Source organism: Homo sapiens, chromosome 17 (assembly GCF_000001405.40).
Source record: "Homo sapiens chromosome 17, GRCh38.p14 Primary Assembly".
Classification (NCBI taxonomy): Eukaryota; Metazoa; Chordata; class Mammalia; order Primates; family Hominidae; genus Homo; species Homo sapiens.
In genome coordinates this window covers 51,746,519-51,772,892 of record NC_000017.11, presented here as the reverse complement: position 1 = coordinate 51,772,892, position 26,374 = coordinate 51,746,519, and the positions used below count along the sequence as shown (strand labels likewise).

At 41.3% G+C, this 26,374-nt stretch overlaps 1 protein-coding gene across 3 annotated transcripts in view; it reads left to right on the top strand.

The window, feature by feature from the left end:
- Positions 1 to 26,374, top strand: part of CA10 (carbonic anhydrase 10) — a 529,711-nt gene that overhangs the window by 387,131 nt on the left and 116,206 nt on the right. For all 3 annotated transcript variants that reach the window (NM_001082533.1, NM_001082534.2, NM_020178.5), the window contains one exon: positions 25,075 to 25,260. In NM_001082533.1, coding sequence (NP_001076002.1) covers positions 25,075 to 25,260 — 186 coding nt within the window. The remainder of the gene's footprint in view (positions 1 to 25,074; positions 25,261 to 26,374) is intronic.

Sequence of the window (26,374 nt, the reverse complement as noted above, 5' to 3'; positions counted from 1 at the left end):
GCTCCCCAGAAGCTTCTGTTGGTGGTAGAGAGGTAGAGAAAGCATGGGTTTTAGAGTAAAAGTCTGTTAAAATTCCATTTCATTTTGTGACTTCAACAAGGTACTTGAACTTGAGTCTCAATTTCCACATTTGTAAAATGAGGCTAATACCATGTATCTCACATGACAGTTATGACAATTAAGTTACATAACTGTGTTAGCTGGCCTAGTTCAAAAAAAAAAAAATGCTTCTCTCTTTTCCCTCTCCTTGTCTTCTCTGTTCCCATGGCAATTGTAGGCCTTCCCTCATTTTAACCTGGTGGCTGTGGTGGCTGGCCTGTCTCTGTGTCTGTCTTTCCATCATTCCCATTTGGAAATTCCTCCAGGATTTAGTCAATATTTTAGTTCTCTTCATGGCCTTAATTACTGAAACATGAAATGTTAGGGATATATATATATCAAAAACAGCCAAGTTTAGGAAATCTTATTTTATATCACTTTTTTTTGCTTCGTATCATTCAGCACTTTCATTGTAAAATAATAAGCAAGTGCATATACTCATTTGCATTTATTTGCATATATCTTTATAATTGTTACTTGTGTGTGCATCATAGTATCAGCAGTAATGGTAATACTAGTAATTGTTAATAGTAACTATGAGTACCTAATGTTTGTTAAGTAATTATTATGTGTTATGTACTCTTTCAACTATCTTTACATGTATTACCTTATTTAATCTTCACAACAAAACAGTAGCCACTATTGTTCTCCCCATATACAGATGAGGAAAGTGAGGCACAGAGAGGTTCAGCTATGTATGAGAATGAAATAGAGGAAAGTAAGTAGGAGGAGACATAGGATTCCAGCAGCAATGCAGAGCACTCCACGAGGCATCACAGGGATGGTAATTGAACCCTGATTCTGCAGAGCACGTGGCCACAGATGAGGCACATACACTCTGTGAGAGGCTTTGTCCTCACCTGTGAGATGGGATGCCTGCTCCTACTTCAGAGATTCCTGTGTGGGAACCATAGGAGAATGAGTGTGTGAACACTCTCTGTAAAATGGTAAAGAGCCATATTGATGTTAGCCAGCTTGGTATTGGTCAAGCCTCGCCTCACTGGTCTCCTCCCCTCCTGCCCCATTCTGCCACTCAGAACCTAGGAAACCATTGTTCCAAGTACAAGTTCAATCAGTGCTTGCTAAGTCAACAGGAAAGAGTCAGGGCTGGCTAACATTCACTTTCTCAGATTTAGGAAGAAGTGGCAAGGCTGAGACATAGTGGGACAGCCACCCATGCCAAAAGGGGGAAAGGCAGAACTTGAGATTTCCAAGTGTATGACTACTGAGTTTCATGGAAAATCGGAGTCTCCAGACCCAACATAGCCATTACAGAGAGTAGGCAATGCTGGGTGTGGCATGGGAAAACTCCATTGTCTTAATTCTGGGAGGTGATATAATAGGGAGAAGTCTTAGCACTGGGCAAGCCTGGCTTGGTGACCTGATTTTATCACCATCTTGCTCTGTGATTTTGGACAGGTCAATCATCCTCCATTATAAGGAGCACCTTTTCACATCTATAAAACAAGTGTAACATTAGTGATATAGTTTGGATATTTGTCCCAGTCCAAATCTCACGTTGAAATATAATCTCCAGTATTGGAGATGGAGCCTAGTGGGAGGTGTTTGGATCATAGGGGTGGATCCCTCATGAATGGCTTGGTGAAGAGTGAGCTCTCACTCTGGGTTCACAGGAGATCTGGTCTTTTTTTTTTTTTTTTTTTTTTTTTTGAGACGGAGTCTTACTCTGTCGCCAGACTGGAGAGCAGTGGTACGATCTCAGCTCACTGCAACCTCCGCTTCCTGGGTTCAAGCGATTCTCCTGCCTCAGCCTCCTGAGTAGCTGGGACTACAGACATGCACCACCACGCCAGGCTAATTTTTGTATTTTTAGTAGAGATGGGGTTTCACCATGTTGGCCAGGATGGTCTCGATCTCTTGACCTCGTGATCTGCCTGCCTCAGCCTCCCAAAGTGCTGTGAATACAGGCGTGAGCCACTGCGCCCGGCTGAGATCTGGTCTTTGTAAAAGTGTGTGGCACCTCCCCCACCACTATCTCTCTCTTGCTCCCACTTGGCCATGTGAGATGCCTGCTCCCTCTTTGCCCTCCACCATGAATAAAGGCCCCCTGAGGCCTCCCCAGAATCCAAGCTGATGACAGTGCTACACTTCCTCTGCAAGCTGCAGAACCATGAGCCAACTAAACCTCTTTTCTTTATAAATTACCCAGCCTCAGGTATTTGTGTATAGCAATGCAAGAACAGCCTAATACAATCAGTACCAGCTCACAGGATTACTGTGATGACTCAGTGAGATACTGTGCTCAGCACAGGGTCTTGCACATAGGAAACAGAGGAAACAGTTGAGCAAATTTGCACAATACAGTTTAGCAAATATTAGTATTAATGGTGGTATTATTTCGTGCCCCTCCAAGCCTAGGGTCTCGGGGGAGGGTTTGTGTCTCCTTAGTTTTCATTGTTTAGGGGTTCTTTGTTTCTCCATAGCATATGGAGAAAACATAGGATATTATAGCCATATTTGGTAACTTGCTGGTCACCACAGATAACTATGATTTAGAGAATAACGTAGAAGTCATGCCTGGAAAGCTTTTTATTTCTGGGCGGGGCGGGGAGGGTGTCAGGAATGCATTTTACAATGTGCAGCTACTGTGCATTCTTATGAATTAAAAACAGACAGGCACACCCAAATAGCTCTAGGGAAAAAAAAAAAACTACAGAGGCTATTTTTAAAAGGTTTAACCTCAGTCCTATAAAAGAGCAACAGAGATATAGAATCTTAGATTTGGGAGGAAGCCTCCTAGATCTCCTTCCTGTCTAGCCTTTCTACACCAGATCCTCCAGCAACTGGCCTAAAAAAGACTCAGAGTAGCAACTTTATGGCCTCAGAGTAACAGAGGATGCACCCATTTCTTGAGCATAAATGGACCCCCATATTTACACACTGCCCCACATTGCTATTTGATCATTGCCTGTGGCTGAATTGCGGCTGCCCTCCCATCATCAACCACGTTGGCTTCTCTTATATCCCCTCTTTACCTGGTCTGGGGCTGAACAATCAATTCATGTTGATCAACCGTTTTAGGATGCACTGGTGAGTGCCCAGGAAGTAGTGTTTAACTCACTAGCTATATTGAATACACTTTTTCTCTGGTCTAGTTCAAACAGAAGGATGACTGGAAATATATCTTTGATGCACTGTGCTGGTCTCATAGGATTTATGTGAGCCTGAATCCACCCCCTTTTACATATAGCTGATGTCTACCAATTCTGCTAGACTGATGTCAGGGTTTTATTTCCTTCCCAGAAATGTTTCTGAGTACCCTTTAACCCACTCCCCATCACCCCCAAATACACACACACGGTGTGAGTCATTAACTTCCTCTACATATTTCACTACGTCCCTTTGCAAACCTCTGTCTTAGCACTTACCATTTTGTACAGAATTGTGTATTTACTCCTCAGTCCCCACAAGAGAGATGAGTCTCTCTTTTATCTTTGTATTATATTTCTAGTTCTAGCACACTGCCTGGCACCTTGTGATTGCTTAAGAAATGCTGGGTGAGTGACCCAGTGTGCCCAGTAGTGGCAAAAACTCCACCTTCAGCTCTCCCACCCCACCAGCTTGCCATGGATCCTGGGGTGTAATCTCAAGGGAATCTGTCCATCCATTTTAAAAACTATGAGCAGGCTAAATATTAGTCATCCGAATGCTGTTTTCTCATTGAGTTGCCTTAACAAATGGCAAGAACAGATGGCATTCAAGACATGTTGTCATTATAAAAGTATAAAAATGTTATTTGTTTTTAAAATTAAAAAAAATACATGCACATCATTGCAGACAATTTCAAGAGCAGCCCTGGAAAAACCGTGTGGAGAAGAAATACTGTGTTTTTTTCTTCTCAGTCTTGCCATGTCATCAGTTTTCATCATTGGCCCTTTCCTTTCTGAAAACGAGATGAACTCTCAAAATTGAGTTTTGAGACAAGTTTGATTTTCCTTTGTCCTAGCTGGAAAGAGAGCTTTAACAGAGATCACATACCCACTATGTGCCAAGTACTAGCTTACATGACTTGCAGTGTAGCCTCACAGGGTTTGTGCCACATTGTTTAATAAGCATAAGCAAAGTTTTCTATAAAGTTAAAGCAGCAGCAATGGAGAGAAGGTAACTGTCATCACTGTGGACTTGATATAGTGCCAGGAACTGAAATTTAAAGTCAGGAACCCTGGCCTCATAAATGTCTCTCCCCATGTAAGCAGATGACATCCTCATTGCAGAAAAAGTACCAGCCAGCAACTCTTGCTGGCTTGCCTTATTGAAAGTTGAGCACTAAGATCAATAGAGCAATATTTTATGAAATTCAATTTATCAGAAGATTTGATGTCTTAAAGATGATGGAATGTCTTATTTATTGGCAATCGTAGAAACTTCAGGAATGTTTGGCACACTGAATGGTAAAGCCCAAAGTTGATTTGAAATTTCCTGTCCTTGAAAGAAGACAGTGATGGAGAGTCGCTTTTGAAAGCTGAATCTCAATCCCAAACCTTTGCAGCTATTGTACAAGCAGGCCAAGATCCCAGGCCAAAATGAAAGTGTCGTGTGCCATGAGTTTTAAGAACTGCTGCTACCAGAAGCAAAATAAAAGATAAACAAGAAAAAAAAAAAAAAAGCACATCTTTATGTGGATCCAGGCTACAAAAAATGTTAGCCTTTATCCCTACCCCGAACTTTTCCCGAAGGAAATTGTGGCAAATAATCAGGTTAAAACTGAGAGTCACTAAATGCAATGTAGTATCCCGGCTTGGATTCTGGAATAGAAACCAGACATAAGTGAAAAAACTGGTAAGATCCAAATAAAGTCTGTAGTTTAGTTCAGCGCTCCCCAACCCCCAGGCCATGGACCACTCCCCAATGCTCACATTACTGCCTGAGCTCTACCTCCTGTCAGATCAGTGGCAGCATTAGATTCTCTTAAGAGCATGAACCCTATTATTAACTAAGCATGTGAGAGATTTGAGTTGTGTCCACCTTATGAGAATCTAATGACTGATGATCTGTCACTGTCTCCCATCACCCCCAGATGGGACCATCTAGTTGCAAAAAAAAAAAGCTCGGGGCTCCCACTGCTTTTACATTATGATGAGTTGTGTAATTGTTTCATTATATGTTACAATGTAATAATAATAGAAATAAAGTGCACAATAAATGTAATGTGCTTCGATCATCCCAAAGCTGTCCCCCCACCCCTAGATCCCTAGAAAAATAGTCTTCCACAAAACCAGTCCCTGATGCCAAAAAGGTGGGGGATCACTGGTTTAGTTGATAGTGGTGAAACAATATTACCTTATTAGTTGTAACAAATGTACAATGATTACATAAGATGTCAACATTAGGGGAAGCTGGGTGAGGGATATATGGAAATCTGTGTACTATCTTTGCAACTTTTCTGCAGACCTACTGAAATTATTCCAAAATATCAAGTTTGTTTTACAAATTTAAGAGGCTCAAAGCCAGAGTCACTGAGGATGAGTACTAAAAATAATGTGAGATATGAAATCCACCTAATGATGAATGAAGTATGAGTGTGAAACTCCCCTCTTCTTCTATTAGTAGCTAACCATGTGATTAAGCTAAACTCCCTGAGCCTCAGTTTTCTCATCTCTAAATACAGGCATAATTAAATCCTCCTCATGCAATTATTATAAAGATCAAATGAGAGAACATTTAAAATGAACTTGCAGTTAGTAAACACTCAGTGCACAATAGTTGGATTTAGTCAATGGCCAAGACAAGGTAAAAGTCAACAGTTAGAGATTTTTTAAATAGCAACTGATCTCTACCAAGGCACCTCCCAAGACTTCTGGACAATGAGTTTTATTGCAAGGATGGAGCAAGCTAACGGGCATTGCCAGTCATTGCCTATCGAGGACCTCTGGCAGGATGTTGAACTTAGCACAATCCACTTCTCACCTTAAGTAAACACTTCCTAATTAACATATTATAATTTTGAGCTCTCTGATTCATGGAAAATTTTTCTTTTCACAATTATTTTCCCAAGTTACTTGAGTTAACAGCAACCTTACTTTCCTGACTAAAGTCCATTTTAGATAAGAATTGCTTCAAGGGAAAGAATCCTGATTCTGTTTATAACTTATTTTTTCTTATCTTTGGTGTTGGAGAAATAAAAATAAGCAAAAATAAGCAAACTGACATATTCATTTATCTCCCCACTTCCCTGCAAATAGATAGATTGCCCAGCAAATTAAATGTCAGCTAAGGAAACCACAGCTCAGAGAAGTTAAGCAACCTGCCCAACACCATGAAGCTAAGAGCAAAGGAGCCAGAACTTGAACCTGACCCCAGGAGCTGTCCTTTCTCCTACTATGTTGCCTGTCCACTCCACTGGAATCAAGTTGAAAAATGCTAGTGAAACCAGTATTTCCCACCTGGTTCTCCCTGCCAGATCAGAGCCTTCCAGCATGGTTAGATAGCATGCTGGAGCTTCATCAGCTCTCACATGGAGACTTGTGGAATTCATTTTCATCCACTTCTAACTTTAAAACCAAATAAGTACCTTATTTTGGGGTGCAGATTATAGAATCAAGCAATTCCAGCAAGCCTGAACATGGAGTCCTTGCTCTTAGAGGGTCTACCTTGAGCTGGAGCCTTTTAAAGAGATATCATTGGCTAGGGCTGCCTTTGGCTCCACCACCAAGTGCCTGGTTTTTTCTCATACCTCGTAGGCAACCCTGAATTAGGATGAGTTTACAGCACCATTGCTTACTTCCGAGCATTCCTGAACCCTTTTGCTGCCCGGCATTCCTGTTTTTGAATTGCATCTGTTTGTTTCACCTTCAGGACCACCTGCTTTCTCAGGCTGGATTTCACACTTGGCACTGCTTACCTCGTAGTGATCTCAGCTTCTCTCTTCAGCTGTAATTTACTCTTGGCTCTCAGACTACTTACCCCTGACTCTTCCAGATATCCATCTGTCTGTCTGGTCAGAGCCATCTCAGCCCTCCAGACTCTCCCTGGTACCTTCTAGTTCTTGACATTTCTGCTGGATTGTCTATACCCAACCCCCCCTAAACACATGCATGCACACACACATACACACACACACACACACACACACACACACACAGGGAGCTGCCTGCCTTGCAAGCTCTCATTAGCATTAAATGCCAAGTTTCAGGAATAACCAGCCTTCTTGGTTACAACTAAAATGGAGATCGCTGCATTAATGCAGTAATGGAAATATAATGAAGGAATTTATTGTCCCTGAAAGACAATATCTGCCACACAAACCCCATGGGATATCTCCAGACAGTAAGTACAGCTCCACGCCTCTAATTCTCTGGCCCATAATTATCTTGGGAAGACGGTGACCCTGCAGTTCTCTCTATTAAGAGTATATTTCCTTACAAAATGAACTGTGCTGTATTGAATTGCATCATTTTGATCACTAGAAATTGACATATTGGGCTCATTAGCCAGGAAGTTGGATAGTTAATTTATGAGGTTTCTCGGAGCCTGTCCCAGACCACTCATTGAGGGAGCTAAACAGCCCACGATGAGATAGAAGAAAGTTACTCCAGCAGAGTGGCTTTATTTTTCTCTCATTACAGAGATAATGAACAGAAAACTTCTCTGGTACAGATATTGCTTCCCACCCCTTCTCCCCCCAACCCCAAAATGATTTTGCTTTATTGCAACCAGATACCATTTGATGGGTGAACAGTCTTATTCTGCTCATTAGCACCATTTTTCATTTAAAATCTTCAACTGCTGAGATAAAAAGATGATCTAAGTCTTTGCCTTTATCTTTAATATTTAAAACTGTTCACACAACCTTTTAAAAATCAAATATTGATGCTGCTACCTGTTGTTCTTCAAAGTGGAGCAGTTATATTGCAGGCCCTTCACAGTAAGCCTGCCTTTATTAGAAATGAGAATGGGGATGTTAAGGAGACGTTTATTTCCCTCTCTGTGGCCTCTGCCCCCATCCCTATAGGTGGAGAGCTAGGAAGAGCATTTGGTTCTTAATCAAGAAATGTGCTGAGGCAGCCACTTGAAAGCACCTAGTGGGCAGGCTGGCAAGAAATACGGAGATGCTAGGAGCATCCTCAGGGTCGATTCTGCAGAATGGTACTGGGCCCTTGGAGTCATGTAGCCTCCTAGGCTCTCAGCCATAGGCCAGCTTCCTACAACCTCTGCAACCTAGATTCTTGGGGAACCGCAGTTGTGGGCAATGGGATGGTTCCACACTGCCCTCTAGTGACTAGGTTCAGAAGCTACATGTATCACACAGTCCATTGCATTCAGCAATTCAAGGAGGACCTGCCCTGTCCTGTGTCAGGGACTGGGGATATGGAGGTGAAGGAGACACATAGCCTTTTCTCCAAGGATTTCTCATAGTGGGACATGGGGGCAGATAATTACAAAGCTATGTTTATGTGTTATTACGCTTAAGTTAAGGAAGTCATAGGAACTCAGGGAAGCATCATCACCAAGCCTGTGGGGTTTCAAAGGACTTTGAGGAGGTGGTCTTGACAAATGAGAAGGGGCTTTGCAAGCCTAGGAAAAGGAGATGCAGCTCAGAGCCTGATTGTGAAGGGCCTGTTGTGCCACTACAAGATTGTTGGCATGAGCAGTCAGGAGACAATGATAAGAGTTTCATAGAGATACTGTGTATCATCCATTTAAGATGCACATTTTTTTCATGTTTCAACATCTCTTTAGGAGGCCTCCTACAAACAATGGCATATTTTATTTTATTTTATTTTATTTGTAGAGTTTTTTTTTTTTTACTTTCATGGTGGTTCATAAAATCAGGATATATTTCACAACCTATGGCATATTTCAGGAAATATGGTAAAATAAGGGCTTAAGTTGGGCCATGTCTGGGGGACAGAGAGGAGGGGTCAGAATAAGATGAGGGATAGAATAAGATACATTAGCAGAGACAGAGAGAATGGGCAGATTACAGAGGGTTTTTAGGAGGTGGAATTTCTTTAAATTGTTGAATGAGTGTATGTCAGAGGTGAAGAAGGAGAAGAAGGAAAGGTTACTCTGCTAAGTGTGTGTGTGTATATAAGCAACTGAAAGGAACTCATGAAAATAAGTTTTGCTGTGAGCATTTAAGTTCATTGACAGTAAAAGAGGTAGGGGGATTGCATAGCAGAAATGCACCATGAAATCACCTCATCGAGTGGAAATCTGAGAGGCTTTTCAGTGGACTAGAATGGTGAATGTGGGACGGAAAGGGTGTTAAAATGGGTCAGATGATTTCATTTGGACCCTCTGGGTTTATGATTGTCTTCTGTGTATAGAAAACAGGAGCACAGAATTGCATTTAATTGTCTCTAATTCATCTGGTGAACATGCTTTCCTGATATTAGCTGGATCAATTGTACAAATAACTTCAGAACCACTCAATACTTTTGTCATGGATGAGATGGAAGGTTCCATTTGCTTTCCCGTGCTGGATAACCAGAGAGCTGATTTTAGGGTCATTAGATGGCAATAAAGACTCCCCACCCCCACAGCACATGCTCCACCGACTTCCCTCAGTAGGCATTTCACTATATTAAAGACGCAAACTGGCTGATGTAACCATTGCTTTGAAGCCATGAAATGGAATGTCAGTTGCAGAAAGTGAGCCACATATTTCTGAGATATTGATTATTGCAATATAAATCTTCTCACCCCTAAGGTAAAATCCTAGCTGGTGCTGTGAGCTACTTGATAATCATGACATTGGGCTTTTCTTGGGTTTTGATTTTTATGTTTTATTCCTATTAGGCAAAGACCAGGCAAGAGGGAGAAGACCATTGAAAGAGGTGCGGTGGGAGTGGAGGTGGGGATGCACATCACAGAGGAGGCACCAAGAGTGGGGGCTTGCCTCGATATAGAAATGTAGCAACTCTGGAGAATTGGTGTCACAGGGCAGAGCATAAAAGCAGGACATTATTTCCTCGGAAAAGTGTCTTTTTAAAACATGATTTGTTTCATTTTGCAGTGGAAAGGGTTGGACAGATGTGCATTCAAATTCTCCCTCCTTTTCTTGCTAGTGTATGACCTGAGCAAGTTATTTAACCCCTCAGAGTCTGGTGTTCCTTATTTGTGACTCAGAGATAGTAATACTTCCTACCATACAGATTTTGGTGGAAAGTAAATAATAGAACTATGTGAAGCCCTAGCAAAGAATCTGTCACACAGTGGGTGTTTGGCACCTACTGTCACCGATCTTCTGTGCAAACCCCTCCCCGCAGCTGCTCCTGTTCCAATCACTCTGGGAACACTGGACTCATGACAATTGCCACTCCCTTTGTGTGCCTTATATTTGCCCATTCCCAAGTCTTCACTGATTTTATTCCCTATTCTAGGCATCTCCAGATGCCTACATCCTACCCGTGCTCAAAGACACATTTCAAATGCCCACTCCTCTGGGAAATGCCTGTTGTACCCCTGGACACAAATCATCTCTCCTCCTTAGAGCCAATAACCCATGCTCCAACACCCATTTCAAATGCCTACTCCTCCAGGAAATGCCCCAGTACCCATGGACAAAAATCATCTCTCCTCCTTACAGCCAATACAGCAGCTCACCAGGCATGGGCTCTTTCACATGTATTATCTATTACACTTACAGATCTGTGGCCTATTTACCCTCACTGAGCCTCAGTTTCTTCATCAAATGGTGATAATAAAAATATCCACTTCATGAGGTAGTGGCAAGGATCAAGTTGCTAATGCATGCATAGTTGCAGCCATATAGAGCTCTGTAGATGGTAGTGATATTGATGGATTATTATTATTAGTATATCTAGATATGATCTCTAGTTAGAAAATGCAGTCTCCTTGGTTGCTTGCTTCTAGAAAGGATGCATGCAGTTTCTAGAAACTGGTGTCTTTTTCTATGGTCACACCTCACTTGTTAAGGGCTTCAGTTGTAAATAGCATCAGTGGTAAATCCAATAATAAGTGCCTGAAGGGTAGAGACCTGTTTGGATTTTGGTTGTGGATGATGTCTATATATCAGTTTAGGACCCTACGCCTTGCTTCCACGGCACAGCAAATGTTCATTACACTTGCAGAGCCACTGAGAAATGCAAATACTTGAAAACTGGACAGCAATGTGAAATACCAAATGCATAGTCATTAACTGACAAAACTAGGAGCTTTGATGAATAGAATAAATGATTGACCTTCAAGATGGGAGCAAGGATTAGGTAATCTTGGGAGGAGGAAGAAGCAGTGAAATGAAAGCCCCTGGGAATTCTTCCATCATCTCCCAACAAATATACCTGTGAACAAAAGGTTTCCCACTTTTATGTCATTTATCTTTTCAGTTTTTTTAAATGATTTTCAGATTCAACCAAATTCTTAGGAGAGATATTAAGAGGTTTATAATTTAGATAATGGGACACATTATGTATTCCTAGTAAATAGCACTAAGCTATGCACTACTGAGTTTCAACATCAATAGATTCTAACTGCCAACCCAGGCAACTGTCACTTGGCTGCTCCCAGGGTGGTTGGCCCATAAAACTTGCAATATGAATCACACACTCAAAAAGAAAAAAACCTCAACAGATAGAGGGCTATCTGTCTGTTTTGGGGGTAGGAAACAAATATAAGTTACTGGCATTAGATGCCTAATTTATTCATGGAGTGTTTAAGCCTCCTCAGAGCCTGGTATCCTCAGCAGCTGCCCAGCCGGCCACTCCTTAATATAGCTGTGTTCGCATAAGGGAGGGCAGCTTGGGAAGGAAGACTGACCCGACCAGGCTGCACTTCCAGTATGGCAGCCACTAGCCACATGCCGCGATTGAAATGTGGTGAGTTCGAATTGTAATGTGTTTTGAGTATAAAATACATATTAAATTTCCAAGATTTATGAAAAATGAATATAAAACACCTCATTCATAATTATTATATCGATTACATGTTGAAATAATATTTTGGATATATTGGGTTACATGAAATAAACTCCTAATGTTAATCTCACTGTTTTGTTTCATTAATGTGGCTACTAGAAAATTTAAAAATTACAGATGTAGCTTGCCTTCTGTTTCTTTTGGATAGCTGCTGTATTGGACAGGACTCTTGTAGCACACATCCCAGGTTATACCATCAGATGTGATTGTCTACAGAGTCTTTCATTTCATTTTAAAAATGATTCTGTTTATTTTTAAAATTCAAACAATATGAAAGAGCACAAAATGAAAAGTAAGTCTCGCATCCCATCCCCTCCTTTTCCTGCATTTCTCTCTGTTCCTCCTCCAGAGGCCATCTCCCAGTGTCCTGAATACTGCCCCAAAGACATCCAAGAGATGAGAGATGATGCTCCTCCATACCGCCACCATCTCCACCGCTCCCTGCTGTCACACACCTGGCCTGTCTCACTGATTTACCCTGTCTGCTGACCACTGTGGCTGTCTTCAGTGTGTCCTAGAGCACAGCAGTCATAGTGAGAGAGAGCCTATAGGGGCAAGGACACCATGGGAAATAAATGTTACATACTTAACTTGCATACAATGAAATGACGAATGAGCAAAGACTTACTATCTAATTATCCCCCAAACATTTGCTATTTCTACTTTGAAAAACTGGCATCAAGGATTCTGACATCTGACCAGTGATGACCACACGGGGAATGTTAAGAAGGATCTATGGACCCTGCCAGTGTCCTGTGTGCCACTGTGTTCCACAGGCACCCCTTAAAAGGCATTTTCCTCTTTGGAGATAAAATAACTGGAGATCGGGAGTTATTTGCCTGAAGCCCTGTGAATCAGGGATTGAATTAAATGACATTAAACTAGAAATAAGCTTTCTAAGGCAAGTTTTAGTATGTTAATTAAAGCAGCCTAACCTTGAATTTTCGTAGTTTAGGGAAAAACAGTGGCCTGAAGATGAATCAATGTATAACCCACTACATATATTTAGAAAGAGCTTTAGTGCTATATCTTTATAATTATCAAAGCAATTCCTTAAGGCACGAAGGGAGGATGGAGAAAGGATAAAAAAAAAGTCACTCTATATTACTGTACCCCTTCCCCACTGCACTGAAGAACTGTCAGACTCAGCTCAAATGAACATCAAAGGAAGCTCAGGAGAGGAAGACATCAGATTCCTGAGTCCCACCTCAGACCTACTGAGGCAGAATGGGGGGTGGAGCTTGGACCAGGTACCCAGATGATGCTCAAAGCAAAACCTTATCCATTTTCATCCAACAAATGGAAACCAAACATTGTTCAGGTGCTGAGATATGGCAGGAATCAAGACTGGTAAATAGACATCCAATCATGCCTATATTATCCTTACCAAAAAAAATAAATATATTAAATATAGATTATTATATATAATAAAATATTAAATATTTTATATATTACATATTTACATATATTAAATATATTTGATATATTAAAATATATTTTAAGCACACACACACACACACACACACACACACACAGAGCAAAGAAGTGTACTCAACCCAATCTTGATTTCGGCTGGCATAGATAGCCAAGGTGAGCCCCCAACTCATGAAAGGAGCAGCAGCACAGGCAATTCCATTGGGGGCATACTGCTAATCAATCAGCTGGTACCATCTTGGTTCCAATAACTTTATCCAGTTGGCATAAGACTCCAGCCACTCACTAAGAAGTAAGAAAAAAAAATTGATCCAGACAACCAACAATGAGGGGCTTGACAAGAACTCTCCAGGCTCTCCACATGCTAGTGGGCTAAGGTTTAAAGCCGAATTTTAACCCAGGTAAAGGAATTGGAGAACTAAACCAGAAACCCACACTGAACTGGGGTCATACGGATTAGGCCTGCTTGTTGACACTTAAGAGAAGCACAGTGAAGCATAAGGAGATTGACTTTGAAATCGGACAGTCTTGCATTCACAGTCTGGCTCTTGAACCCACTGGCCATATGAGCTGAGCATGTGGCACCACCCTCTTACTGGAAAATGGGAAGCTCATGCTGACCTCGAAGGTTTTGTGTCAGGATTTTTAATGTTCATAAGGCAGCTAAGCAGACACAGAAGACAAATTAACAAATTTAAATTTTGTTTATAATACTAAATTATTAAAATAACAATATTAAACTAATAAAACCATTGGTTGGCAGTGGTGGTTCAGTAGGAAAGAAATACATGGGACTCACCCCCCGGAAACCTACATACCAGGATTGTGAGGGAAAAACTCATTCCAGATACCACTCTCTGAAGTGTGCCTTCCTGGTCAGAGGCTGGGCAGCCTGAAATAGGTGAAGGGCTTCAGCGCCAATGACTACGTGTGGCAAGAACATGTTCAGCCTAATGCCAGCCATGAGCCCATGGTATCCTTGGGTTGGATGGAGGAAAGGGAGCATTCTCTTGATTTAGCCCACGCCTTAGTGAACCAAGCAATATCTTTCACACCTGTTCTCTGTGTCTTTTGTCATTACCAAGATCAATCAAGTTGAAGAGATGCTTCACTGCAATGGTGCTACCTAGCATCCCTGCAGAGTGTGCAAATAAATCATGTATTATTTGAAGAGTCAATATTATCAAAAACAGATTCAATGCTTTTAATAATAATATGATTTAATATAATAAGCAGTGCATGTGATCATTTCATCTAGTTTTTCAGTGTAGATGCCAAAATCCTATCCTTTTTACAGAGGAAACACAGGCTGACTCAGATGGATAGGTAAGAGAAAGATCAGCGTAAACTTAGCATTACTAAGGGAAAAAAACCCACTATTTTCCCTGCAGGGTTAAGAGTAGTGGGTGAGATCTCAGAAGTACATCAACTCTCCTACCCAATCCCACCAATGGTAACTCGAAGCAGATCGCTCCAGTCTGGTTCCATTTTCTTATTTACCTACATCTAAGCCACTCTTTTCCTAACAGCCCCAGCCTACGAGCTCCAAATATTTCCCTTCTGCTTTCTTTCAAAGATGCATTGCAAAAGAAAAAAAAAAGGCCTACTCCTAAAGCTCCACACCCTCTGCCACCATGCTCTTATCTAGCCTCTAATCTTTTCCATTTCTAATCAATACTATGAAAGCTACATAGCATAAAACATCTGGACAAACAGTGAGAAGAGCCCAGTATCTAGATACATGTCATGTAAATGGCAGGTCCAGATGTCAACTTGAATTGTTTCTGTTTTTCTATAGGCTATGGTAGTTGTGTATACACACACTTATTATAGTACTCTAGCATTTCTAACTTTGAGTCAGTATTCTTAGGTACCCTCAGCATAAGATAATTTAAAGGAAAAGCAAGAGAATAAGAGGAGGGGGAAGAGTGCTACATAAAGCAAGAAACACTCAGTGGGTTGATTTCTAATCTTGGGTTTGCTACTTGTTTGCATAATCCTGGACAACTCACTCAACCACTCTGTGTCTCAGTTTCCTGGTTTATTGAATAAGAGCTTGATGATCTCTGAAGTCCTTTAGCTTTAGAATCCATACGCCCCTAAGTTTGCTAATCTGTGTGTCTGCTATGCTGCACTGAAGCCAATGATTTGACTCCAGTTTTTGGTACTAATTTTTTTTTCTTGCGTCGATGCTTCCAGAGTGCCCATGTGAGCAGGCAGCACACTGGCTTTTTGTATTCACTCTTTACAAATCAGCCCTTTGATCTCTTGAGCTACTTTGCAGAAAACTAGACTAAGTGGTGTTCTTAAATCTCAGACTCACTAATTACATTGCAAAGAAAGCCTATTACACACCTCAGCAGAGTGGCCAGAGACATATAACAGGAAACTTCGGTTGCAAAGAAAGGTCACCTAATTCATGACACGGCCGTTGAATCTTCTTCACTGAGTGGCCTCCCAACATTTTGGGCTCAGCCACCCAGTTGCTCAGCCAACACTAGGAGAGGCAGGTATGACCCATCTCTCAACTCCCAGCAAGCGGGGACTGGAACTGCCCTGCCACCCTGGGTCTAGACCAGGTCTGGATACATTAAACCCAACCTGGCATATCCATGCAGACATCATATTTTAATTAAGAATTGATCCCTAACCCCAGAAGCTTTTTAAAAACTACCTCATCTCATGGCTGGGCACAGTGGCTCACACCTGTAATCCCAACACTTTGGGAGGCCAAGACGGGCGGATCATGAGGTCAGGAAATCAAGACCATCCTGGCTAACACGGTGAAACCCCGTCTCTACTAAAAAATACAAAAAAAAAAAGTTAGCCAGGCATGGTGGCGGGCGCCTGTAGTCCCAGCTACTCCGGAGGCTGAAGCAGGAGAATGGCGTGAACCCGGGAGGCGGAGCTTGCAGCAGTGAGCCGAGATGGCGCCACTGCACTCCATCCTGGGCGACAGAGCAAAGACTCAAAAAAAAAAAAAAAAACAACTACCTCATTTCCCCAGCACTCAGCACTCTTCCTACCAACTTCTGACTTCTTCTCTTTTAAAGAGCTATAGAATGTGCAGTCAAATAGGCCTGGGCTAGAATTCTGGGACTGCCAATTTCTAACTGTGGTGCTTTAAGTAAAAATCCTTTAACCCCTTTGAGCTTCTGTCTCCTCATATGCAGAATATGGATAATGCCTTCCTCACCTGGGCAGCATAAGGGTGAAATGAGATGATGATGGAAAGGGACTGAGTACACAGCCCAGAGTACACCACAGTCAAGCCGCTGTTGTGGATGTTGTGGTCTATCAGCTCCCAGCGTGTTTATAGTTATGTATTTTTATAGTTATAGTAAAAGAAAATCTGTTGATTCAAGCTCATTCTTGTTGGTTAAAAAAAAAAAAAATCTGCTGAAGAAGACTGTATCCCAAATCTCAAAGGCAAGAATGCCGGCTCTTCTATGTTACCAGTGAACAGGGCCCAGGTGCCAATTCCATATAGAATAGTAAATAAATAAAAAGGACATTATGAAATTTCTGAAATGTACATGGTCACTGAGAAATGGGAGTGCACCCTCTCTACAGTGACTTTGAAGCTACTCCTTGAGACCCTGGGAAGAGCATGAGCTTGGGTCATGAAGACTTGAATTCTAGTCCCCTCACTTATTCCTTTTGTATCTTTGAGTAGAATTCTTAGCCGACCTGTACCTGGTTTTCTAATCTAAAAAGTGGTACAACATCTGACACATAGTAAATCCTCCAATTAGTAGGTGTCCTCCACCCTTCCTTTCCTAACTAACTGGGTTAAGAATGCAAGTAGCTCCTGTACACGTCAGATAGGCCATCTCTTCCTTCTGCATGACTGAAATTCTATTTCCTCTCAGCTACTCCATTTTTAGTGTTATATTTCCATTTAAGCTGTAGAGAATTATTTTTTACTATATTAGAGGAGATCTGAGTCAGACTGCCTTGAGAGAGAACATATCGGAAACCTCACATAATCTTTGTGTCACATCAAGCAAGTAGCTACTTATTGAATCTTTTGGAATTTCTGAAGGTAAGATTTCCTCTAGCTTAGCTTTCTGCAGTAAACATCCACCCTACAAGCGCTATCTCCATTAAACCAAAAGACCTTTGACATGTGTATTTTGTGAATTGGTCTTTATAAAAAGATATACCTCTTCCTCTTTGTTATCTCAAAATATGAGTTTATACAACATCTAAGACCCAAAACAATAGGGGATTTACATCAAAATAATCTCCATGGTCCCATCTATACTCAAGGATAAACCTGCCTTGTTCTTTAACAAGAAAAGTTAAATTATTTCTTTATAATTGTTCTATCATTCAGATGTACATCTTTTCAAACTGGTTCTCCTTCTATGTGACTGACATTTGGAAAACAGTCTTTGTGTAGCTGACTTTTAAAATTATGTGATGTAGGAAATATATAGATAAAATGCATATGTGTTTGTATCATATATAATATACATATGTGTATATATAATATATACAGATATAGATAATGTAGCTATATAATATATGCATGTATATATACACACACGCATATTTGTATTATATATATAACCCTTTATGTGTGGTATCAGAACAACTATTTGGTTAAGAGCTATTTGAACTGATGTAATAAAGAAGGCAAATAGAATTTGAAAATAAGTGTAGTGGTTAATTGATGTGTTAACTTGGCTGGGCCATGGCACTCAAATATTTGGTCAAACATTAATTGGGATATTTCTGTGAGAATGTCTATGGATGAGATAAACATTTAAATCAGTGGAATTTGAGTAAAGCAGATTGCCCTGCATAAGGTTGATGGGCCTCATCCAATCAGTGGAAGGCCTCAAGAGATCAAAAAGACTGACCTCCCTGAATGAAAAGGAATTCTGCAGGGTACCTTCAGAGGTAAACTACAGCATCAGCTCTTGCCTCCAGCCTGCAGGCTTTTGGACTTGCCAATGTCCATAATTAGATGAGACAATTTCTTAAAATCTCTTTATTTTACGTGATATATATATATATATATATATATATATATATATATATATATATATATCACACACACACAGTAGTATGTATGTGTGTGTGCGCATGTGTTGTCTCTTTATTTTACCCGTCTTTATACATATATATGTACACACACACACACACACACACACACACACACACACTATTCTGTTTCTCTAGAGAACCCTGAGTAAACAGTAAGTAATCCTAAACATCCTGAGCTCCAAACTACTGTGAGGCTCCTACACTCTCAACCCACCTCTTGAAGAAAATGCTGTAATATTACATTGTTAAATAACCAGCTGTGGCTGGGAGTGGTGACTCATGCCTGTAATCCCAGCACTTTGGGAGGCCGAGGCAGGTGGATCACCTGAGGTCAGGAGTTCGAGACCAGCCTGGCCAACATGGTGAAACCCCGTCTCTACTAAAAATATAAAAATTAGCTGGGCGTGATGGCAGGTACCTGTAATCCCAGCTACTTGGGAGGCTGTGGAGGGAGAATCACTTGAACCCGGGAGGTGGAGGTTGCAGTGAGCCAAGATCACGCCACTGCACTCCAGCCTGGGCGACAGAGTGAGACTCCGTATCAAAAAACAGAAACAAAAACTGCACAACCTAATAATTTCCAGTGGTTAAAAGCACAGGCTTTAGAGCCAAAGATAGCTGAGGTCAAGTTCTGGCCCCCGACTGATGGCAGTTTGCTTCTATGGAAAGTGCCATAGAAACCAGGTAAGACAGGTATGCCCTGTGGGAGGCCTTCCCTCCACATATGGGTTTAGCCTAATATCTTCCCACTGAGAATAAGCAAATGGTGCTGGGTTTGGTGAGGGAGAAATTGTGATGATTAACAGAGAAAATTCAGGTTCAGAATTTACCGCCACCCCCTGTGGCACCCAGTAAAGTTCTAACCAAGATGCCATCTTTATGAACAGGATTGTGGCTGAATTTCAAAGAATGAAAATTTTTCCTACCTTAAAAATGCATTGACCAAATTTATTTCCCTCTAAACATGATAGTGTCACCAGAATGAAAAAAGATGACCCCATTTATTAGAGGCCCCAAATCACTGACTGCTGCAAAGCACTGTGTTTGCTATGCAAAGACATCTAATTTTGCAAAATAAATACACCAGGCATACAATTTTTGCTTTGCAAAAGAACATAGTGCTTCTAGATGGTCTCAAGTTATCAAGATAATATTGATTGACATACAACCTGGACAGGCACATCTGTGGAGCACCTATTACCTGCTTCCCTCAATATACGTAGCTCCAACCAGTCTCAAACCAGTATGAATTCCGCAGGTGAGGAAATTGAGGGACTTCCTTGACCTTCAGGTTTCTCGAAGCCTCCTCCTGGGATGAACTTCAGCAGGCTAGCATCCAATTATAGTCCTCTCTTTTCCTGAAAAAGATCCCACTTTTTCTGGAACTGCCTAAGATCTGCAAATAGAGACTGGAGAAGAAATGAAAATCCCCAACATATTTTTTATTTACTTGTTTTTTATTTTATTTATTTATTTATTTATTTTTGAGATGCAGTCTCACTCTGTCACCCAGGCTGCAGTGCAGTGGCGCGATCTCAGCCACTGCAACCTCTGCCTCCTGGGTTCAAGTGATTCTCCTGCCTCAGCCTTCCGAGTAGCTGCAGGTGCCTGCTACCACACCCCGCTAATTGTATTTTTAGTAGAGACGGGGTTTCGCCATGTTGGCCAGGCTGGTCTCAAGCCCCTGACCTCAGGTGATCCGCCTGCCTCGACCTCCCAAAATGTTAGGATTACAGGCATGAGCCAAAGTACCTGGCCCCCCAAAGTATTTTTTTTTAATCTGAAATGAGCAAGGACACTTGCATTTGCTTACATCGAGATCATTAGTCTTGGAATCAGAAGACCTGGGTTTGCCACCTGCCACTGTGTGATTCTGGATAAGTTACTGAACCTTCACCAGCCCCCGCTTACTTCCTTTGCTGGTAAAATGGACATCACACCCATCTCACACCTTATTTTGCAGTGAATTAAGGTAAAACAAAAAGAACTGTGAGGCAGCCAGAGGCAACCTGGATATCCCCTGCAGCTTCAACTTCTCCATTCTGTTTTGTTTCCTGGTCTGTATAATATAACTTTTTCCAACATGCTGCGCACCCAAATAGTTCATTGAAAACACAGTAATTAGCATTCGAGATAAAATGGCACTGCTGCAATGTTAATTACTGCGGTGCAGATGTACCCTCAGATATCATACATAACGTTGTCAAGCCTTTATTTTTAAATTAAAGTGCAACAAACCATGCCCTGGCTACACAGCTTTTTTTGATTAATACAAATTAATGTTATTTCGGTATCTATGGGAAGAGTGGGGAAAAGGGGGTGTTGCATCTCGTTGTAAGAACACATAGGAAAATGATAGCAGTTATGGATTGCCCATAACTTTGTGCCCCCATTCAGGTCTCTCCATAATGGAGTGTGAGCTCCATGATGGCAGGGAGAGGGACTGGCTTTGTTCAAAGTCATACTGTCCCCAGCTCCTAGCACACTGTTAGGTGCATTGAATGTTTTGTTCTGAGTAAATGGCCAAGCGAATGAATGAATGAAGACAGAGCCATGTATGCAGAAGGGGTCTGGAAGTGAGATCGAAGAACTAGAAGGCACATTGGTGTATTCCTGCTTCTGGTTTGGGGTTTGCTTCATGGCCTTCAATATGATCTTGCATTCTCCTCATGTCTAGCACCTTAAAATCCAAAATGAGAGGCCAGTGAATCATCACAAGGCAGAAGTTAGCTCCAGTTCTTCATTATGACATTTAGCAAGCAACATTATATTCCACCAGGCTCTGGGAATTGGGGAAGACATGGGGAAGAAAGATCAACGAGAATCCTTCAATATCACCTAGGCACCCATGCCATAATAGCCAAGAGTAAGGGAAGGAAGAGAATGAACACGTGTGACCATCACATATATTAGTTAATTATCACAACCTCGTGAGGGCAATTTTTACCAACTTTTTATTGTTGTAAAATACATATGACATACAATTTACCATCTTAACCATTTTAAGTGTACAATTCAATGGTGTTAAGTACATTCATATTGTTGTACAACCATCACCACCATCTGTTTCCAGAACTCTTTTTATTTTGCAAAACTGAAACTTTATACTCATTAAATACTAACTCTCTCTTCCTCCCTCCCTCAGTCCCTGGCAATCACGATTCTACTTTCTGTTTCTATGATTTTGGCTACTTTAGATATAGCATACAAGTGGAATCCATTTACATTTAAAGTAATTACTGATAAGAAGGGACTTTGTCATTTTGCTATTTGTTTCAATATGCCTTATAGCTTTTTTGTCTGCCATTTTCATGGAGGAAATTCTGTTACCTCTATGGTTAAGAAAACTGAAGCTTCAAGAAATTCAGTAAACTACCCTAGGTCGCAAGAGGCAGACTGAGAATCTTTTGACTCCAGGGCCCCTGATTTTTCCACCTACTTGTGCCAGTGTGTTTCCCAAGTACTGGGAAAATTCACACAAGCATAAAATGTAGTCAGTGCCTTGATTCAATGGGCAATAATTTTCTTGAGAACATTAGACAGACATAGATGAAAGGATTTCTAGAAGTGTTAGGAAGCCCAAGATACTTGCCCAATGGCACAAAGCATGCATGTCATAGGAACTTGGAGCAATGTTTTTTGTTGCCTTTTATACCACAGAATGTCACTAGATTGAATCCCATGGTTCTGTGCTTAATGTCATTTGAAGGGAATTACAGAGATCCAGCCCTGCTCTGTGGGATCTACTCCCCATAGCAGATGGATGCAGCAATACATAGTAAATGCTGTAATAATGTGTACACTATTTGACCTGGAATTTGCATAATGAAATATCTCTGGATTCGTGAAAAGATTTATCCATGAGGATGTTTATTACAGATTTTTTTTACAATAATGAAAAAGTGAAAGGGCTGTAAAGATTCAACAATCAGCTAAACATTTTTACAAGGAAATATGATGTAGATATTTCAAAGTGATATTGCTAAAGAATAGTTAATGACATGGAAATATCTATATGTTAGAATAACATAAAAAGTCATATATAATATACATATATGCAAGTGAAAAGTCTATATTATATATTTATAATGCACATATATAAAATCTCATTAAATTATGGGTCTATAAGTATGAGTGTGAAAATTATATATATGCCAAAATATTAGTGGTGATTCCTGTTTAATTGTGAAATTGTGGTCGATTTGCTGTCCCATATCTTTCGAACCATATAATAATGCCTATGTATTATCTTAATAATTAGAAAAAATAGGTTATATTTAGAGATGGAAGTCACGTCTAACACAAATCTGTCTTGAGCTATTGTACTGAAAAGGAAGTTATGGGAAATGAAAAGTTCTGATTATCTCACACTAACTAAATATACATTTATTTGAGGCTGGAGAACAGGAGTGAAGTCATTGGCATGGATCATTTGGTTGCAAGGAATAGATAACTTGAGGTTTAAAAATGTATTGGTAAGGTGTAGAATATTAGAAAGTACAGTTCAGGCCTCTTGAAGGAACTAGAACGAAGAGACACAAAGATATCTGAAGCGAAGTAGTTATTCTCCCCATTCCCTCCCCCGTTCCCCAGTGTGTGGTCTCCTCTGTCAATGTTGGGACATCTGCCTCAGTCCTCTCTCTCTGATCTGACTTTCTCTGCTTAACAGTATGGTTGGCACTCAGGCGACCTTGCAGTTCAGGAACTCAACGGAGAGTTTCTGTTGATAGTTCCAGATTTCACAGGAGAAAGAAGATGACTGACTTAGTGTCTATCAGTTCCCTTTTGCTGCATAACAAACCACCCCAAAATTTAGAGACTTAAATAATCATTTAGCTCCAAGCCTATGGGTCAGTGGACATTTCTGACCTGGGCCAGGCTAAGCTGATCTCAGCTGGGCCAGTCAGCTAGTGGATCAGCCACAGAGTAGCCCGTCTAGACGGCCTCTCCTGGGATGGCTCTCCTCACTGTGGCCCCATCCTCCAGCAGGCTAGCCCAGGCTCATTTGCATGGTAGTTTCACGGCTCCACGAAGAAGTGAAGAAAACACGCATGCCCTCAAGGTCTACTCTCAGGACTAGCATGTTGTGTGCAGCACATGCTGTTGGCCAAAGTAAGTGACAAGGCCAGCCCAGACTCGACGTAGAGAAATAGCCTCTTATCTAGATGACAGCAGTTACAAAATTACATTGTTGGGAGTGTAGTTATAGGGAGGGGAAGAATTCCTGTCATTTTTGTAAACTGCACATAATCTCTAGGGGCCTAGGCTGACATGAGCTCCATGCAGTCGCTGCACCACATTGCCATTTCCATATAATGCCATTGGTCGATGTACCAGGGAAAGGTGAGTCTGGGGAATCCACTATTTCAACCTGGAAGTGACACTTGTCATGACCCCTCCCAACCCATGGCCCCTATCAGTCACATGGGCTCCATTCTACAGTAAGGTGGCAGGAAACAAAATGAGTCACTGGAATATTTGGTGAGCATTATGGTCTCTGCCACAGTGAACAACTCAAGAGCTAATCATTCACAACACCAGTGTCAGAAAGGTGGAAAAGAGGCAGGTAAAAGATAGTGCTATAGAGCACATATATGAAAACCACATCTAATGAAGGTGTCAGAAGGTACAGGAAGCCCTTCAGGAATCACTAGGGCTGAAGGCTTGGCCCAAAGTCAGAGTAAGCAGGAAGAAAATCCAAATAGTTCAGCCTCCTGTAACCCAGAAACACTCCTTCCAGACTCATTCAAAGTCTCCCTAAGCTCTAGATCCTACTCCCAGAGCTAAGTCAACCCAAGAGAGTAAGAAAGTAGAGTTTCAGATGGGAATGAGTGTTCTAGAATCAATTGTTGTTGAGGTCACAGTCAGGAAAATGAAGCTGAACATCAAGTCCCAGCAAGAAAAGAAGGAAAAGGAATGCCAAGCAGTCATGTTAGCAGTTTGAAGGGGCTGGAGCAAGATGGAATCAGGAATAAGGAGTAAGTCTAGGAATCTATGAAATTGGAAGTTTGAGTGAATCCCTTTAGTTTACCACTTGAGGCCCACAAGCTATGAGGATTCTGTGCAATGTCTGGTTGCAGGGCAGGACACACCAGATAGGACGCTTGAGAATTCAGACCTAGGCTTTCCATCTCCCATGAGCGTCTGCTTCTAGTCACTCATTTTCTCTTCCCTGTCTCATTTGGCCTTCTTAATATCTCACCCCTTGCTAACTGCTTTCTCCAATTTCTCACAGCTGAGATTTAGAACTCTTGCAGTATCTTTCCATTCCAAATCCTTATAGTAAGAAGGACAAATTCATTTTTTATAAAATACAATGCACAAAATATTAATCACAAATGATGAAAAGTCTCCTTCAAGTTCTTACCTCAAATTCCTAAGCCATCATGTGGTTTATGCCTCACAGAAATTACCATAGATCCCACATATACCCTCTGGGGCAGCTGCCACGCCCTACTCCACATGTGGATTTAGCCCATCTTCCCATCAAGAGGAAGCAAAAGGTGTTGATCCAAGCACCATGCTGGGTTTGGGGAGGCATAGAAGAAGGAGGGCCTTGCTTGACCTGTTGCTAATTGCCTTGCAGGTCAGTGGGACCATGTACAACACTGGAAGACACGTATCCCTTCGCCTGGACAAGGAGCACTTGGTCAACATATCTGGAGGGCCCATGACATACAGCCACCGGCTGGAGGAGATCCGACTACACTTTGGGAGTGAGGACAGCCAAGGGTCGGAGCACCTCCTCAATGGACAGGCCTTCTCTGGGGAGGTATGTTAGTCTGTCAAAGTACTAAGGTTAAATGTCAACTTATAAGATTGGGTGCCTGTTTGTGTCCAAGATGGGATAACATAACAAAGGGATTCGCTCTAATCTATGAAATGAGAAGGCCCATGCCTTCTTTCTCCATCTGTCTTTTGCAAATTGACATCGAAGTCAATAACAAGCTTCTAGTATTTTCCAGGGAAGGCTACAATGAAACTAGCTCTTTCCTTCTGAGACAATGTTGCAGCTCTCTTGAGACTCATGTCCAGTGATATTTCTAGAGCATTATTTCAACCCCAAATCCTCACCTTATATATATAATACATCTTTACTTACACCTATCTGGGCGATCAGCCTCTCACGTGTCACATATGATAGCACAGATTCCATAACTTTTCTTTTGAATATAATGAGTCATATTTGCATAAAACTATAACATACTGTGAAATAAGTGTCAGGCAACTCAATAGTTTTCCTGAGTTTCTGCAAAATGGAAACGTCACTGTGTGCCACCATCAACCCAGACAGAACTCAGGCCACAGCAGAGAGCCCAACCACAGTTTCATTTATAGGACAAGAGCTACAGTTTAAACAGTTGTCATCTGTGGTGTGACACTTCACAAGTAGGGTGTAGGTAATTTGATCTGTTTTACCCCCGTTATACTGGAGGGTGTTTATGAACTAGAGATCAGGGGTCCTTACAGGCTAAATGCCCTGTGACTAGGTTTCTGCTTAAGAGTCCTCAATAACTGATGTTAGGAAGGCTTTGAAATTACAAAAATATGTATTGCATGTGGTGTTTTTATTTTTTTAAAGATCATGTATAAATCTGGCCTTATTTTTAGTGTGTTAAGGCCAAGCACTAAGAAACAGACCCACAATCTTAATGAGTCCAGCAGCCAGATTTTAATGTGCATCCAAAATGTGTCACTAAGAGCCTGCCTAGGCACTCAGCTAGTTACCAGGGATACAGAGATTTAAAAAAAGGGCTCCTACCACAGAGGAGCTCAAAGAGTGCTACATTCAAGTCATTAAAGTATAATGTCATGCTGTAATGGGGATGTACAAAGGCCCTGGCAAACTCAAAGGAAGAAGTGGTAAATTTTGCTTGAAGGGGTCA